General features: G+C 38.7%; 1 protein-coding gene and 1 pseudogene across 13 annotated transcripts in view; one reads left to right on the top strand and one right to left on the bottom strand.

Moving 5' to 3' along the window:
* Positions 1 to 11,174, top strand: part of PARG (poly(ADP-ribose) glycohydrolase) — a 123,749-nt gene extending 112,575 nt beyond the window's left edge. For 8 of the 13 annotated variants that reach the window (NR_136754.3, NR_136755.3, NM_001303486.3 and 5 more), the window contains 2 exons: positions 9,160 to 9,288; positions 9,959 to 11,174. Coding sequence is in view for 6 of the 13 variants with exons in the window: in NM_001303486.3 (NP_001290415.1) it covers positions 9,160 to 9,288; positions 9,959 to 10,113 (284 nt within the window). In the remaining 7 variants the exon portion in view is untranslated. The remainder of the gene's footprint in view (positions 1 to 9,159; positions 9,289 to 9,958) is intronic. The other 5 variants (NR_130169.3, NR_136752.3, NR_136753.3 and 2 more) reach the window with 1 other exon arrangement.
* Positions 13,855 to 14,395, bottom strand: RPL21P89 (ribosomal protein L21 pseudogene 89; annotated as a pseudogene).

Genomic DNA, 15,470 nt, shown 5'->3' with positions numbered 1-15,470 from the left:
GCAGGTATAAATCCTTAAACTTGTATTTCTTTAATTATTAATAGAAATAAGGCTAAGCTGAGCACAATGGTATGCGCCTATAGTCCCAGCTACTTGGGAGGCTGAGGTGGGAGGAATGTTTGAGCCCTGAAGTTCAAGGTCAGCCTAGTAAGACCACATCTCTTACAAAAAAAGAAAATTACAAAAGAAAGAAGGCAAATTTTTTTTTTTTTATTTTGAGACGGAGTCTTGCACTGTCGCCCAGGCTGGAATGCAGTGGCACTATCTCGACTCACTGCAACCTCCACCTCCTGAGTTCAAGCAATTCTCCTCCCTCAGCCTCCCGAGTGGCTGGGATTACAGGTGCCTGCCACCACGCCCAGCTAATTTTTTGTATTTTTAGCAGAGACAGGGTCTCACCATGTTGGCCAAGCTGGTCTCGAACTCCTGACCTAATGATTCACCTGCCTCAGCTTCCACAGTGCTGGGATTACAGGCATGAGCCACCGTGCCCGGCTGGCAAAATATTTTTAACATGCTTGTTACTTAATTGTACATGAGTTTTGTGTTTTACCACAATTAGTTGTTTGTTTTTGTAAGATACAGGGTCTCATTGTGTCACCCAGGCTAGGGTGCAATGGCGCGATCATAGCTCACTGCAGCCTCAACCTCCTGGGCTCAAGGGATCCTCCTGTTTCAGCCTCCCAAGTAGCTGGGACTGCAGACATGCACTACCATGCCCAGCCTCACAATTAGTTTTGAACTGCTTTAATTGTACATTACTTTGACAACTATTAAGAGAACATTTTTAATATATTAGTTCATTCAATAGACAGTTTACTAACAACATTCTTCCTCAGGCAGCCAGTGGCCCTAAGAGCCACAGGCTAGGAGAGAAGGGACTAGGGGGAGATGGAGGGGCTTTGGGCCTGGCTCCAGCAGCAGCCAGTGGCCTCCTGCATGCCTGTGCCACCAAAGGGGCTCCCTGTGGTCTCCTACCTGACCTGCATTTTTCTGAGCACCTTGTGGAACTCATGTGAAAGCTTTCGAGCCAGTGCAAGCTCTACTTATTTCTGGTGCTCCTAACTGTTCCAAAGTGACCCCCTAGTTCATACTTGGCTTTTAACATTTCATTGAAGTTTTAGCTGATTTATTCCTACCCATTTGTGTGGTGACCACCTCTTTCTCCTGTTACTTTCAAACATAAAACAGTTCATGTGTTTTATCTTCTCAGAGGGGCTTGTCACCCTTTGGTTGCCTCAAAAACTCAGCTCTCTTATAAACTCAGAAAAAGTCATAATTTTGTAGATTACAACATTTGGGCTTTTCTCATGGTTGGGGTAGAAGGAGCTTTTTTTTTTTTTTTTTTTTTTTTTTTTTTGTTTAAGCTTTCTACATCTCGTCTCAGCAGAGATTTTTGCGTGGGGGGCTTCTGCCTCAAATGTACCACCAGACCCTAGGCACCCGTGAGAATTTTAGGAGATAACTTAAAATTATCTCACTGGTTAGTTTGTTAAAAATTTTGCTTTTATCTCATGTCTAATTTTATTACATTGTAATCAAAGAATGTAGATAATACTATTTCTACTTTTTGGTGTTTCTTGAACTTCTCTTCATGGCCTAACATAGTCAATTATTGCAGACATGTTGGCACTTGAAAAGGTGTCTCTGAAAGGTATAAATAAGACTTACTCTTTTGCTGTAAGATTCCATACCTTTTAGGTCAGACTCTGTCCTTGTGACTTTACTTGCTTATTTTGTGAAGGAATTGAGTGCTACTTTAATGTTCCTTCTTCTGTTGTGCTTTTGTAAATTTCTCCTAGCATTTCCTTTGCTGTTTACTTACAAGTTCTTCCAACTTGCCTTATTTTGTTGTTGTTTTTGTTCTGTTTTGTTTTGTTTTAGGTGCTTAGCAGCCTGAAGCTGTGGTATTTAGTTTCTCTCCCTAGTGGTAAGCGGAAAAGAGGGATGAGGAAGGGCTTTACTGGCCCAATCAGGAACAGAAACTAAGAACCCGTGACTGTATTCTCTCCCTTGGACTTCCCCGTATATGTTACCTGACCTGTAAACAAGTATGCCATTGCCAGTTTACTATCATTAAAATGTGTCTTGTTGCATTTTTTGCATTTTCTTTTCTATCCCCATTCCCTACCTTCAGTACCTAAAAGTGACTTGCAAATAAAATATGCTCAATGAATTTCTATTTAACAAATATATTCAGTAGCTTCTGTGTGCCTTTAATTAATCTTGGGCTTTGCCCATTTTTCTGTAACTGTCTGTCTGTACCTGGCTAATTACTTCGGTCCCTTGTAAGATTCTACTCCAGTGGTAACTACTCCAGAAAGACCCTCCTTCCCTTCCACCAGAAAAGTTCTGTATTAGGATTCTTTTGGTTGAAAGAGACACTAATGTAGCTTATACCTTCCACCTAAAAGGGGACTGTTGCTTGACGTGGCTGAGAAAAGCAGGGTAGAGTTGGCCTCAGGTATGAGTTGATCCTAGAATCAGGCTCTCCCTCTGTTTGTGTTGGTTCCTCTCCTGCCTGCTTCTTTCAATATAATGGCCTCATTTTCATCTGTCTCCATCAGATTATCTCTGCCTGACAGGAACCAGGACCAAATAGTTCCAGTCTTGCAACCCTGCAGTTGAGTGACCCAAGAAGAAAGGAGGACTCCTTAGTTTTAAAATGCCACAAAAATACTCTAATTTGACCAATTGGGATTACTTCTCATCCCTTGGACCAAATTGTCATAGCCAGGGATCAAGAAACACAAGACACATCCACTAATGAGATTTAAAGGATTTCTAATTTATTTCCATGACATATGTATATTAAGTGAAATGTTTCTGAGATATAGAAACTTTTTATAAATTTCTTTCAGACCTTATGTCCATTTATATCAAACTTAAATAATGTCTTCACTAGTTATTTTGTAATTTTGGAATCAAGATAGTTAAACTCCAGAAAGACCATTTCTCTAGAAAAAGAATTTAGACAGTGCTGATATGTCATTTTCTACCATGCTGTGATTGGCCTAGACTAGCCCTTTGACTGAGTTTTATAGGAAGTGTGGTTAGGGAGTTGGGGAAAGGGTGACTTCCAACCAAAAATGGAAGGTAGGAGTATAGAGCATTGGATCAGGTCACCTCGTTTGTCTACCACAGGCTCCTCCTCACTTTGCTTTCTTCTGCCAGAACAGATCACACTCTCTTGGTCTCTCTCAGCCTTGCTCAGGAAGATTACTTTCTTAACATTTCTGTATTATCCTTTTTTGTGGCCCCAGTGCTGAGAATGGGGTCTGGCATGATAATGTGCATTCAAAGGTGTCTGGAGCAAGTATCTATTTCTTACAGGTTGAGTATCCCACATCTGAAAATCCAAAATTCAAAATGCTCCAAAATTTACCAAAAGTTTTTGAGCGCATGATGCTCAAAGGTAATGCTCTTTGGAGCATTTCAATTTCAGATTTTCAGATTTGAGATGCTCAACTGATATTGCAAATATTACCAAAAAAACAATGAAATCCAAAACCAATCTGGTCCCAAACATTTCAGATGAGGGATACTCAACCTGTGTCAGCACCTCAGAGATACTGCTGAGTTAGTGGACTTGGAAAATGGCTTTAGGAATTTTTTTAACTATCTGTGAGCTGGGATCAGCCAGGTTTAACAGTCACTGCATTTTCTCTTATGGTTTGCACAGTTACCCTTCCATTTATTGCCCTTCTTTTAAGAATGAGAAACCAAGGTTTATAGACAGCCAATAAACCTGTCCCAAGAGAGCAGCTAGCAAGTGTCAGAACCAACATTCAAACTTGGCTCCATCTTCTTAAAAACCAATATATGTTCATTACTATTGTTATTATTAGTTGAGAACATATTGAGTGCATACTATGTTCTAGGAATTGTACTAAATATATTCTTTACCTGTATTAGCACACAACAACCTATTTAGGTAAGTTTTCTTTTTTGTCTGTATAGGGGCAACAACTGAGGCATCGAGAGGTAAATTAGCCTAGAGTCATACAGATAGCAAGTGGTAGTGCCAGGATGCAAACCAGGATTGAAGCCCTTGTGTGCTTTTGTTATTTAATCCGTATTGGCTGCAGGCTCTGGATCTGGATCTAGATTTGGGAGTTACCATTCTAGAGATGGTGGCTGCATTCTTGAAGAGAGAGTGTATTTAAAGCAGGTGAGAGGACCAAAGATTGAGCCATTAGTAACATCCATAGTGGAAAAGGAGGGAGTGTCAAGATTTAAAACAGTAGCCAGAGGACAAGACCAATTGGAGAATAAGAGTTGGCCTCGAAGAGTGCTGTGTGGTAGAAACAAGAAGTGAAATGCTTTTGGTACTGGTGAGCAAAGCTGAGCTCTCAGGGTACCCAAAATGTGAGAGCTCACAAAGTGAGCTCAGTAGAAGGACATGCATAGTACTTTCAAATCTGTACTATTTTGGCCTCCTTGACAGCATGCATTTAAATCGTTTGAATAAACAATGTAAAGACATTGCTCTGGCTGGCATGTGGTAAGGTCTGCTTGGAGTTGACCAGGGTGGATTGCCACAGCAGCCCAGAAGCAGTGGGCAAGGGCATGCATTCTTGAGTTGGTGGCCCAGTCAGCTCCACCGCTTTCTGGCTGTGTGACCTGAGACAAATTACATAACCTTTTGATGCCTAAATTTCTTTATTTTCAATATGGAAATAATAATTCTCTTGTTGAGTTTTTGTAAGGAATCACGAGGTAGTATTTGTAAAGCTCCTAGAACAGTGTTCAGCATGCTATAAGAGCCCAGTGTTAGCAGTTGTTACCAATATTACATGCTGGTGGCCTCACACCACACTTGTGGTGTGAGTATCAATCATCTTACCCATTTTGTGCTTGGTCCATTTGTTGCAACAGGACACTATGAATTGCTTTTCATGTTATTCATATTTATTTGTATTTTTTCATAGCTTAACATTGATGCCAAAAAGAAAATTAAAACCAAGCTCCCTGCAGGTTAATTTAAGTGATTATTTTGGCACATAGTTGTGCTTGAAGTTAGAATTCGATGTTTTTATATCATACTTGGAATCAGTCCACATACTCTAATAGACTTGTGATTTATTCTCTTCTAACTTTTGATGCAAGAGAGTTCACTTAAATCATGAGGCATAATTGTGTAGATTTGCAAAGATCTTGGGGGTGTTGTAGACAAGGAGGCCTGAAGACAGTGATGTTTTAAAATAAACTTTTGTCAGTGTTTACTGATGTATCTAGGATCGAGATTATCTTTCTGGAAATTTCATTTATGTATGTATAGTCTAGCATTCAATGGAGGGAAAACAATTATAACAGTGATTATGGATTTCTAAACTCTGACAGAATCTTCAGGGAGCATCTGATTTAACTCCATGGTGTAGTTGAGAAAAATGAGGCCCAGAGAGTAACTGGCTAGTCACAGAGCTAGATAGCTGGCAGAAGGCTGAAGATAGAACTTGGATCTCCTGCCTGCCAGTCCTAACTAGTCTAACACGTGCTTATGGTACAATATGTACTCTAATAGAAATGGGTGTGAAATCAAGAATGTAATGTGAATTGGTTTTACTTTTTGATTTTCTCTTAATATAAAATAAATTCTATAAAGAGATAAATTTTAAATGTTTTTTATTAATACTTCATTTTCACAAATGGCAAATGACTAGAGATCTAGTAGGAAATAGGATGAAAAGGACTCTTCTTTGGGTCTCTGTCTTTTTTAATAGTAAATACTTAAAGCTAAATTTTCATTTTCAGTAAAAGGTAAGAAATGGTACTTCTTGGTGGAGAAAGATGATGATTCATTCGTTCCCATTTTTATGTGTAGTTTAGGTTAATTAAGAACCTTTTGAAATAGGGTGTATTGAAACTTTAATGTATGGATAAGTTGGTTGAGCAGTTTTAATTAAAACTTATCTCTATTTTGAAGTTAATTACTTTCAATACTCTGAGATTAATGAGGCATAGTCATGGCACCTCCCATGTTGTGGGTACTCAATAAATATTAGTTTGGGAATTAGGACATACTTTGATGGTATTTTAGGGTCTTACATATATTATGTCATAGATTCTTTCCCAAATCTGGGAAATACTCAACGATATCAAATTTTACTGGTTCAACTTAAAATTTTTTCTTCCTATGTAATTTTTAAAACTTTCTATTTAAAAATAATTTCAAATTTATAAAAATAAAAATACACACCTTTATGTATGCATATATATGTATACACATGCACATAATTTTTTTCTGAATTATTTGAGCTTAACTTACATATACTATGCCCTCTTTCCTAAATACTTCAATTTGTATTTAAGAATAAAATATTATCTTATATAAACACATTATAGTTATTAAATTCATAAATGTACACTGATATCTTATTTACTCTTTCATCTATATTCTCATTTTGTCAGATGACCTAATAAAGCCCTTTCTAGCCTTTTTCCCCTCTAGCACAGGGTCCAGGGTCAGCTACTGCATTTAGTTGTCATGTTTGTTAGCCTCCTTTTGAATTGAGAATATTTCCACAGCCTTTTTTTGTCTCTTATGACATTGATGTGTTTAAAGAATACAACGTTCTTTGAGTTTGTCTGCTGTTTCCTTGTGATGAGGTTGAGGTTATGCATTCTCTGTCAGAATGCTGCATCAGTGACACTGTCAAGAGGCACTTGATGGCCATCTGACACTACTGGTGATCTTAATTTTGATCACTGTGTCAGGCTGTTGCCCAGTTTCCCCACTGCAGAGTTGAGGATTTTTTTCCTCTCTTGTAACTAATAAGCAATCTGTAGGAAAACAAAGGCAAAATTTTCCCTAGATTTGGCATCTGTTAATGATTCTTGCCTGACCTTTACCACAGTGGTTGCAAAGAAAGGATGTTCCTATTCTAACACCCCAACCACACTTACCAGTTAGTCTTTGGCTTTCTCCTGTGGGGAAGAGCTGGCCCGTCTGTTTTTTGTTTCGTTTTGTTTTATCCATTTGAGCACTACTTTACCTTCTGGTATAACAAAATATTTTGAGGTCATCTTGTACCTTTCTTGTCCAAACTATAGCATTAAGCACTTCTTGAGAAATCTAGTTCCATTTAGGGGGAATGATGGTAGAGACCAAGATTTGGGTGCTGAGTGTGCTCATTGCTACTGTGGTGTCTCCCTTTTGGCCCTTTTAGCAGACAGAGCTAGGAAATATATATGTGCATACACACACATACACACACACACACACACAGATACACATATTTTCGACATCATGAGTATACACCAATGCCTTCCATTTCAGTCCATCCTCACACAGTTCTTTTTTGTCTTCCTCCATTCCATTTTTGTGTGTCCCTCCTTCCATAGTGAGACACCTGTTCCCAGCAGCATCAACACATTTATTCATTTGCTCATTCCTCTAATACAATTCAAAATAGTTTCAGAGTTGCTTCACCTCTACTACTATGGTAAGCAAACCTTGTAAAAAGAGTTGGGAATTTGTTTGCAGTTCTCTCTTTCTGGCCTAAGACCATATATTATGGTCTTATGGACTTATATAAGTCATATATTGTCTTTGTAAGTTACTTGGGTTCTTTCTTTCTTCCTGTTCTTCTTCCTTTCCCTTCAATGTGGTTATGTTATTTATTTGGACTAAAATTACGCTCATTTATTTTAGTTTACCTTCAATTGTAGGTTTCTTCCCATTCCCATTCTTAGTATTTTAATTTTAATTTGTAAATATGTAGAATATTAACATGCTGTCAAAAATCAAAACTGTAAAAAGATACCCTCTTTGGCCAGGCACATTGGCGCATGCCTGTAATCCCCACACTTTGGGAGGCCGAGACGGGCAGATCACTTGAGGTCAGGAGTTCGAGACCAGCCTGGCCAACATGGTGAAACCGTGTCTTTACTAAAAATACAGAAATTAGCCAGGTATGGTGGCAGGCTCCTGTAATCCCAGCTACTTGGGAGGCTGAGGCAGGAGAATCGCTTGAACCCGGGAGGCAGAGGTTGCAGTGAGCTGAGATCACACCACTACATTCCAGCCTGGGTGACAGAGCAAGACTCCATCTCAAAAAATATATATATCCTCTTTAATGTTTTAATTTGATTCCCATCTTCCCTTTTATGAAGTAAGAGATTTATAACTAGCGAAAGGGCATTTATTGTAACTGTATTCAATTTTGTGGTTATTTAAAATCCTATCTATTGAGATTGTAAGGTAACTAAATTTTCGGAAACATACTTCAGGCTCAGTGATTTGTAACTTTGATTCCTGGAGATAGTAGATCTCGATTGTTTTTTCATTCTTATAACACACCAGAGAGTGACTGTCCAGTGTTTTCAGGAACTCTGCAGAACGGGAGTTCTGCAGTGGCCAGTGGAGGTGGGAGTGCAGGAGGGACGCAGGTGTGCTCCCCAGCCCATTTTGAGAACTCCTGCTGTGGGATTAAGGAGAACATTAGAACCTCCCAAATGTGCCTATACAAAAGGCCAGTGGCTGTGTGATAAGACACAGCAATTATATCAAGTAAGCAAACACAAAAAATTTTAGTTCCAGATTAATAGAAGCGAATATAAATACTACCTTAGTCCCATGGTTTGCAGCTTCCTTTATTTGTGGTTCAGCAAAGGTGCCTGTGTTGGAATTCTATAGTTTGATGATATTCTTGGCAGCATGTCTGAAAAGCCACACAACTAGATGATTTATGTCCATCCTGTATTCCCCATTTCTTTTTTTTTTTTTTTGAGATGGAGTCTTGCCCTGTCACCCAGGCTGGAGTGCAGTGGTGCGATCTCGGCTCACCTGCCACCTCCACCTCCCAGGTTCAAGCAATTCTCCTGCTTCAGCCTCCCGAGTAGCTGGGATTACAGTCACCTGCCACCACACCCGGCTAAATTTTTTTTTTGTATTTTTAGTAGGGTTTCACCATGTTGGCCAGGCTGGTCTCGAACTCCTGGTCTCAGGTGATCTGCCTGCCTCAGCCTCCCAGAGTGCTGGGATTACAGGTGTGAGGCACCGCGCCCAGCCTTGTGTTCCCCATTTCTAATACCATGTATACTGGGTTTATAAATCTTTAATCTAGGATGAAGCTGTGGCACACCAGCTGGTAAAGAGCTAAAGGTATCTAGGTGGAAAATGTCATGATATAGCCGTGTCTTTTCTCTTTGCCTCAGCCTTAATACAGATATTGGCAGCTGCTGCAGCTGAGCGAGATGTGGTTTATTTCACCTTTGGGGACTCAGAATTGATGAGAGACATTTACAGCATGCACATTTTCCTTACTGAAAGGAAACTCACTGTTGGTAAGTAGGAGATACTCTTGACACTTGGTATCTAGATGGATTGTACACCATTCAGTGGGAACACTTGCTAAATCTGGATGAATCACAGTGGGTACGAAGAAACAAAAGCATGGCTCTAAGCAGGAAGGACAAACCCTCAGAGGGGCAGCATTTGCAGAGTCTTTTTGTTCTGGCAGAGTTTCATCCACAGTCTTGATAGGGTATATCAGCTTACTAAAGTAAGGTCAAGAAGCTGAAGTTGGTGTTCATTTTTACTTTTCTGTCTATAAAAATCTAAAATGGGAAAGATGAATGAGGGTAAGTTCAGATCTGAGAAGCCCCACTGTCCTGTTTCTCAGACCTGCCAGCGCTCATCCAGTGTGCTTGCTACCTCAGGAGCAAAGTGTATAACGAGGGCTGCCATGACAGTGCATAACGAGGGTGCATGGACAGTGTACCATGGATAGCCTGTTGTTATCATGAGCAAAGAAGTTGTTTCTTTAAAGAGTGTTAAAAATCTTGTTTAATTTATGTTGGGAAAGCCTTTCAGGCATATGAAATTCATGCTGTATTTTCAAAAGCCAAGTCTGAGCATATGCCATTTAGATTAAGATAAAACTGGAGTGTTCTTTCTAAGGTTTTTTCAATTACATACTTTAATGTGCCTCTGGTCTGACCTTTTGCTCTCCAGGAGATGTGTATAAGCTGTTGCTACGATACTACAATGAAGAATGCAGAAACTGTTCCACCCCTGGACCAGACATCAAGCTTTATCCATTCATATACCATGCTGTCGAGTCCTGTGCAGAGACCGCTGACCATTCAGGGCAAAGGACAGGGACCTGAGGAGCCGAGCGAATAGCATCTCCTCCCACCTCCCACCAGAGACGTCCTGTTTGAGCTGTCAGGTGTAATATATGAATTGACTTAAGTTAATATAAATGTGTACATAATCCACATTTGTAGTCAAGGACGCAATCTCTTCCACACATGTGCAGTTGTCAGTTGGTACATCTAAACTCCCTCCATCCTGACTCACGTGGACTTAGATATGTTTTGTTTCTATTTTCTTCTATTTCAGTTTTTCATTCTTTGATGTTTATTTCTTTTGTCCATCAGATCTCTTGTGAAATCCCATGGAAGGTTGTGCTCAGCCTGTCGGGTCTCTTTCTTCCTGCCCATATATTATACCAGTTGCTTCTGCAGCCCGCAGATGCCAGCGATGCCAGGAAACAAGTTGAAATCCAGGAATCTCTTTAACTGATTTTGCTAAAAATCTCCCTGTGAGCCTTCCACTCAACTCTTAATATGCTTGCATTGTTTAAGTTTTTAAATTCTGAAAATTAATAATTAGGGTTTTTTTCATATGTGTTGCATAATGCAAACCTCCTAGGTTAAAATAGTTTCTTTATTTAAGATAGAATAATTTCCAGAAATTGTACTTTTGAGGTATCATTTTTATCTGTAATGGTTTGTCTGTCTTTTTTCCTCTGATCAGTATTTTTTTATACCAGTTTTGGAGACTGGCTGAGATGAAAGGAAATGTGGAATAAAAGGAGGTTTTCCTGATGTGGTGTAAAGAAAACAGATTCAAGAGAATTGAAGATTTTTTTTGTTTCTTGGTACTTTTTTCTTTTTAAATTAGGACTAATGTTTCTTTTGTGGTGCTTGAGGCATATTCATATAACCAAAGTTTGAGAACTGGGAACTTCATGCTGATTTGTACATATTGAAGTTTCTCTGGTATTCAAAGGTTATATAGTGAATGAATTTTCATTAATAAATCACTTTGTCAGAAACTCCCATATCATCTATATTTTATATATGTATATATAAACGTATGCTCTTTAAGTGTGTCTATATGTGAGCACATAAAATCTAAATAAAATTGGACTGGTGGGAAACAATTAGGTTTAGGCATTATTTGGGTTCTGTTTAACGTCCTTTATCACAATTATGCATTTTTAAATCTGGCGACAAACATAAATAATAATGTCTTTCAGAGGTTAAAGTGAAAGCCAAAGCCCATCCTGTGTTAACCGAAAGTGGAGTTTCATCACAGAAGCACTTACTACTCAGATTTCCAAAACAATCCTAAACCACCCTGTTGTTGTTCTGGTTTACCATCAGCTGTCAGGAAACGCTAGTGGCGGTCAAATCCTATTCGTAAGGCACTTCAGTGGATGGCCTGACCTCCTGCTACTGGCAGGAAAAAGACAGGGCCTTGGCTGGTGGCCATCACACTTTTTGTTTATGTAGAGATTGAGAGGATAGTGAGATTTGGCACCTGAAGGCAGCCACTTGTCACTGAAGTTTTTTACCACAATAACTAAGATTTTTAGTCATCTCTCAAATTTGGAAGAATCTGTCTTTAGTTCTGTTGATACTAAAATCTTTCCCATTCTTTGCTTTGGTTGCAGATTCATGGTTGTTTCATGTCCTCACTTTTTCTAGCTCCACACTCGTCTCCTCCTGTGCAGCCCAAGACTAAGTGACCCGTTCTTTAAAATGTTTCATGAATAGGGTAGGTTGGTTCTTATGGTAGAGAAATCATTAATCCAAGTAAGAAGTCACCCAGCTGGGTATTCCAAAACACAGAAAGTAAGACTCTTTTGTGGAGAGCTGTGTAAACAAATGGCCTAACTCCTAACATAAATGTAAGATGGGCCAGCTAAATGCCCTTTGATGACTTAATGTAGGAGCTAAGAGCCAGTCAGTGACTGCCATCCCCATTCCACTGGGGCCTAGACTCTAGGAAAGTAGCACTAGAGGTTACAAAGTTATATTCTAATGGAAATGTTACATTTCCCTGTAGTGAATCCATACAAGTAGGGCAAAAGGTGAAGTTTCTTTTATTGTAGCTGGAATTATATTACCTCAATCCAAATAGTATAATTTCATCCATAAAAGACAAAATTAGCTTAACAAGTGAACTTTACTTGGTTATCAAAGTATTTTAAAATATGGAGACCTTGGGGATAAATTAATACAGGAGGTTCTTGGTGGTAAAAGGTGGAGACCATCATTGTGGAATCTTGTATTTTCTATTAAGGTTTGTAATAGTCCTACAAACTTGAACATAAATTTTTAATATTTGGGAAGGAACATTCACTGAAGAATTGATAATAGACTAAAAAATATAGCTGTTATCAATTAATACATGATCTGTCCTTGAACACATATTCACCATTATGTAAACCTCACATTATTTCAGCTTATTTATTCCACAGATACCAATAGACATGTTTTCACATTGTAGCATCTCCCAAATCAAAATACTTCTAAAAATTGGTAGTATGTCGGCCGGGCGCAGTGGCTCACGCCTGTAATCCCAGCACTTTGGGAGGCCAAGGTGGGTGGATCACCTGAGGCCAGGAGTTCGAGACTAGCCCGGCTAACATGGTGAAACCCCATCTCTACTAAAAATAAAAAATTAGCTGGGCATAGTGGCAGGCATCTGTAATCCCAGCTACTTGGGAGGCTGAGGCAGGAGAGTCGCTTGAACCCAGGAGGTGGAGTTTGCAGTGAGCCGAGATCATGCCAGTGCATTCCAGCCTGGGTGACAAGAGCAAAACTCCATCTCAAAAAAAAAAAAAAAAGAAAAGAAAAGAAAAGAAAACTGGTAGTATGTGTCACAATTTGCAGAAATTTTTCCTATTGGTACATAAAATTAAGACACATTTTACAATCTATGGCATCTTGTATTTGACAAAACGTGGTAATTTGAGTAACAACTATATGCCAGTCACTTTAAAGTTTTGGAGCTTATAATTGTGACCAAGATAGACTGAATCCCTGTTAACGAGTTTATACTCTACCAGGGAACATAGACAATAGCTACAGATAAATCATGATTATTGTAAGATTCTGTAATATTAGAGTGGGGTAGTCAGGAAATTTTTTTTAAAGGAGCATTTCGGACATATACAAAAATAAAATAGGGTAATATACCTGTCACTTATCTTCAATATTTATCCGTTCATGGCTAATCTCACTTCCACCTATATTCCTACCCATTTACCCATGCCAAATTATTACAAAGTTCATCCCAGACATTATATTTTATCTGTAAATCAGTATGTCTTAAAAAGATGACCACAGGATCATCACACACACACATCAAAATAATCGGAAAAGGACTTCTGATTCCAAAAGATGGAATAAACATACTTTTCTCTATTCTTTCTTCTAAACTCATTTAAAAAACCCTGAACATTATATATAAAACAAACAAGAACACTTTGAAAGTTGGAAAAAAGAAGGCAGAATTGCTAGAGACCTTGGGAATCAAGGAATAAAATAGTGGTGAGTTCCCTGGATTTTCTTACTGCCTTGTATATCCCATACTTAATACCAGTTACTGGAGAACCCAACAACCTGGAATGGCTGTATGTAGACAGAGGCTCAAGAAGAGCCCATTCTCTGTAGCTAAAGGACCAGGAAAGTGCAACCAAAAGCAATGACACATTGTCTACAAGACAAACACAAAAAAGGAAAACTAACAGAATTAGTTGCCAGCAGACCTGCCCTGATAAAATGGCTAAAGGAAGTTTTTTTTGTTTTTGTTTTTGTTTTTTTTAAACAGTGCAAAGGTCTTTTGTTGTTGTTGTTGTTACACACCTATTATGGCATGAATTAGTAGAGAACAGGTTCTGGCAGCTCAGGCTCCTTCCCATTGGTTCTCAGAAAGTGTGCTTCTCTGAGAAGAACAGGCTGGCGCCTCAGTTAAGCCCAGGTACCTTTCTCTTTGGCTTCCTTTTTTTCTGGTCATTTTCCTTCACACTTCTCAAGACGCTATCTCAACCTTTAGAGTCCTTACTACACTCAGTATGCACATTAATCTCTTGACAAGAGTATTCCCCTTAATTTGTTTACAACAATGCCAATAGCATGGTGGGTAACATTGTGGACTCCCAGTTTTGCCATGGGAACATTTGTGGGTATTCCTTTTCAAACAGTTCCCATACTGATGTCTATGGTATGACTTTTCTTGTTAGATTCGTGTGTATGTGGCCAAAGGAACAACTGCATGTTATAAAAGGTCCAGAGAACATATATCAGGTGCCTCTCCTCCTTTTTGTGTTTGTCATTTTGGTGAATTATTAGAAAATTGTGGTTCTGGCTGAAATGCTAAAGAAGTTCTTGAAACAGAAAGGAAACCATCAATGAAGGAATCTTGGAAGATCAGGGAGGAAGAGTAGAAACAGTAAAAGTATGGGTAAATACAATACACCTCTGTGGGTTTCGAAATTACATTTTTTGAAGCAAAATATAATTATGTCTATTGGGGTTTTCACTGTATGCAGAGAAAATAATTGTTATAAATGTGGGAAAGAAAAGGGGCATAGAGGTAAGGTTTCGGCTCACACAAACAATTAAAATGTTGATGCCAGTAGACTATGAAAAGCTATACATAATACAATGTAGTAGCTAGAGCAACCACTAGAAAGGCTATGAAAAGAGATATACTCAAAAACCCTACAGATAAGCCAAAATGGAATTAAAAAAAAAAAAAAGTTCAATTAACCCACAGGAAGAAAAAAAGAGAACAACCGGGAAAAAAAAATGTCAGAAAAACCAAAAGCTTATTCTTTGAGAAGATCAATAAAATCAGTAAGTCTGTAACCAGACTAAAAAAAAAAAGTAAAGATATATAATTATTAATATAAAAAATGGCCAGTCTCAGTGGCTCATGCCTGTAATCCCAGCACTTTGGGAGGCCGAGGTGGGCGAATCATGAGGTCAGGAGATTGAGACCATCGTGGCCAACGTGGTGAAACCAAGTCTCTACTAAAAATATAAAAATTAGCTGGGCATAGTGGCACGTGCCTATAGTCCCAGCTACTTGGAAGGCTGAGGCAGGAGAATCACTTCCGGGAGGTGGGGGTTGCAGAGAGCCAAGACTGCACCACTGCACCTCAGCCTGGTGACAGAGTGAGAATTCTTCTCAAAAAAAATAATAATAGTAAATGAAAGAGAGGGCATGACTACATATCCCATGACATTAAAAGTATAATAAAGGAATATTATGAACAACTGTGTTCACAAATTTAATAAGCTAGAAGAAATGGACCAATTCCTTGAAAAACACATCTGCTTTAAATCACATAAGAAGAAATAGAGAATCTATTTTATGGCTACACTATGACTAGACCTATGATTTTTAAAGATAATGAATCAATAATTAATGACCTTGAAACAGC

Source organism: Homo sapiens, chromosome 10 (assembly GCF_000001405.40).
Source record: "Homo sapiens chromosome 10, GRCh38.p14 Primary Assembly".
NCBI lineage: Eukaryota > Metazoa > Chordata > Mammalia > Primates > Hominidae > Homo > Homo sapiens.
The sequence above is the reverse complement of the archived record's forward strand: the minus strand, read 5'-3'. Positions and strand labels throughout refer to the sequence as shown.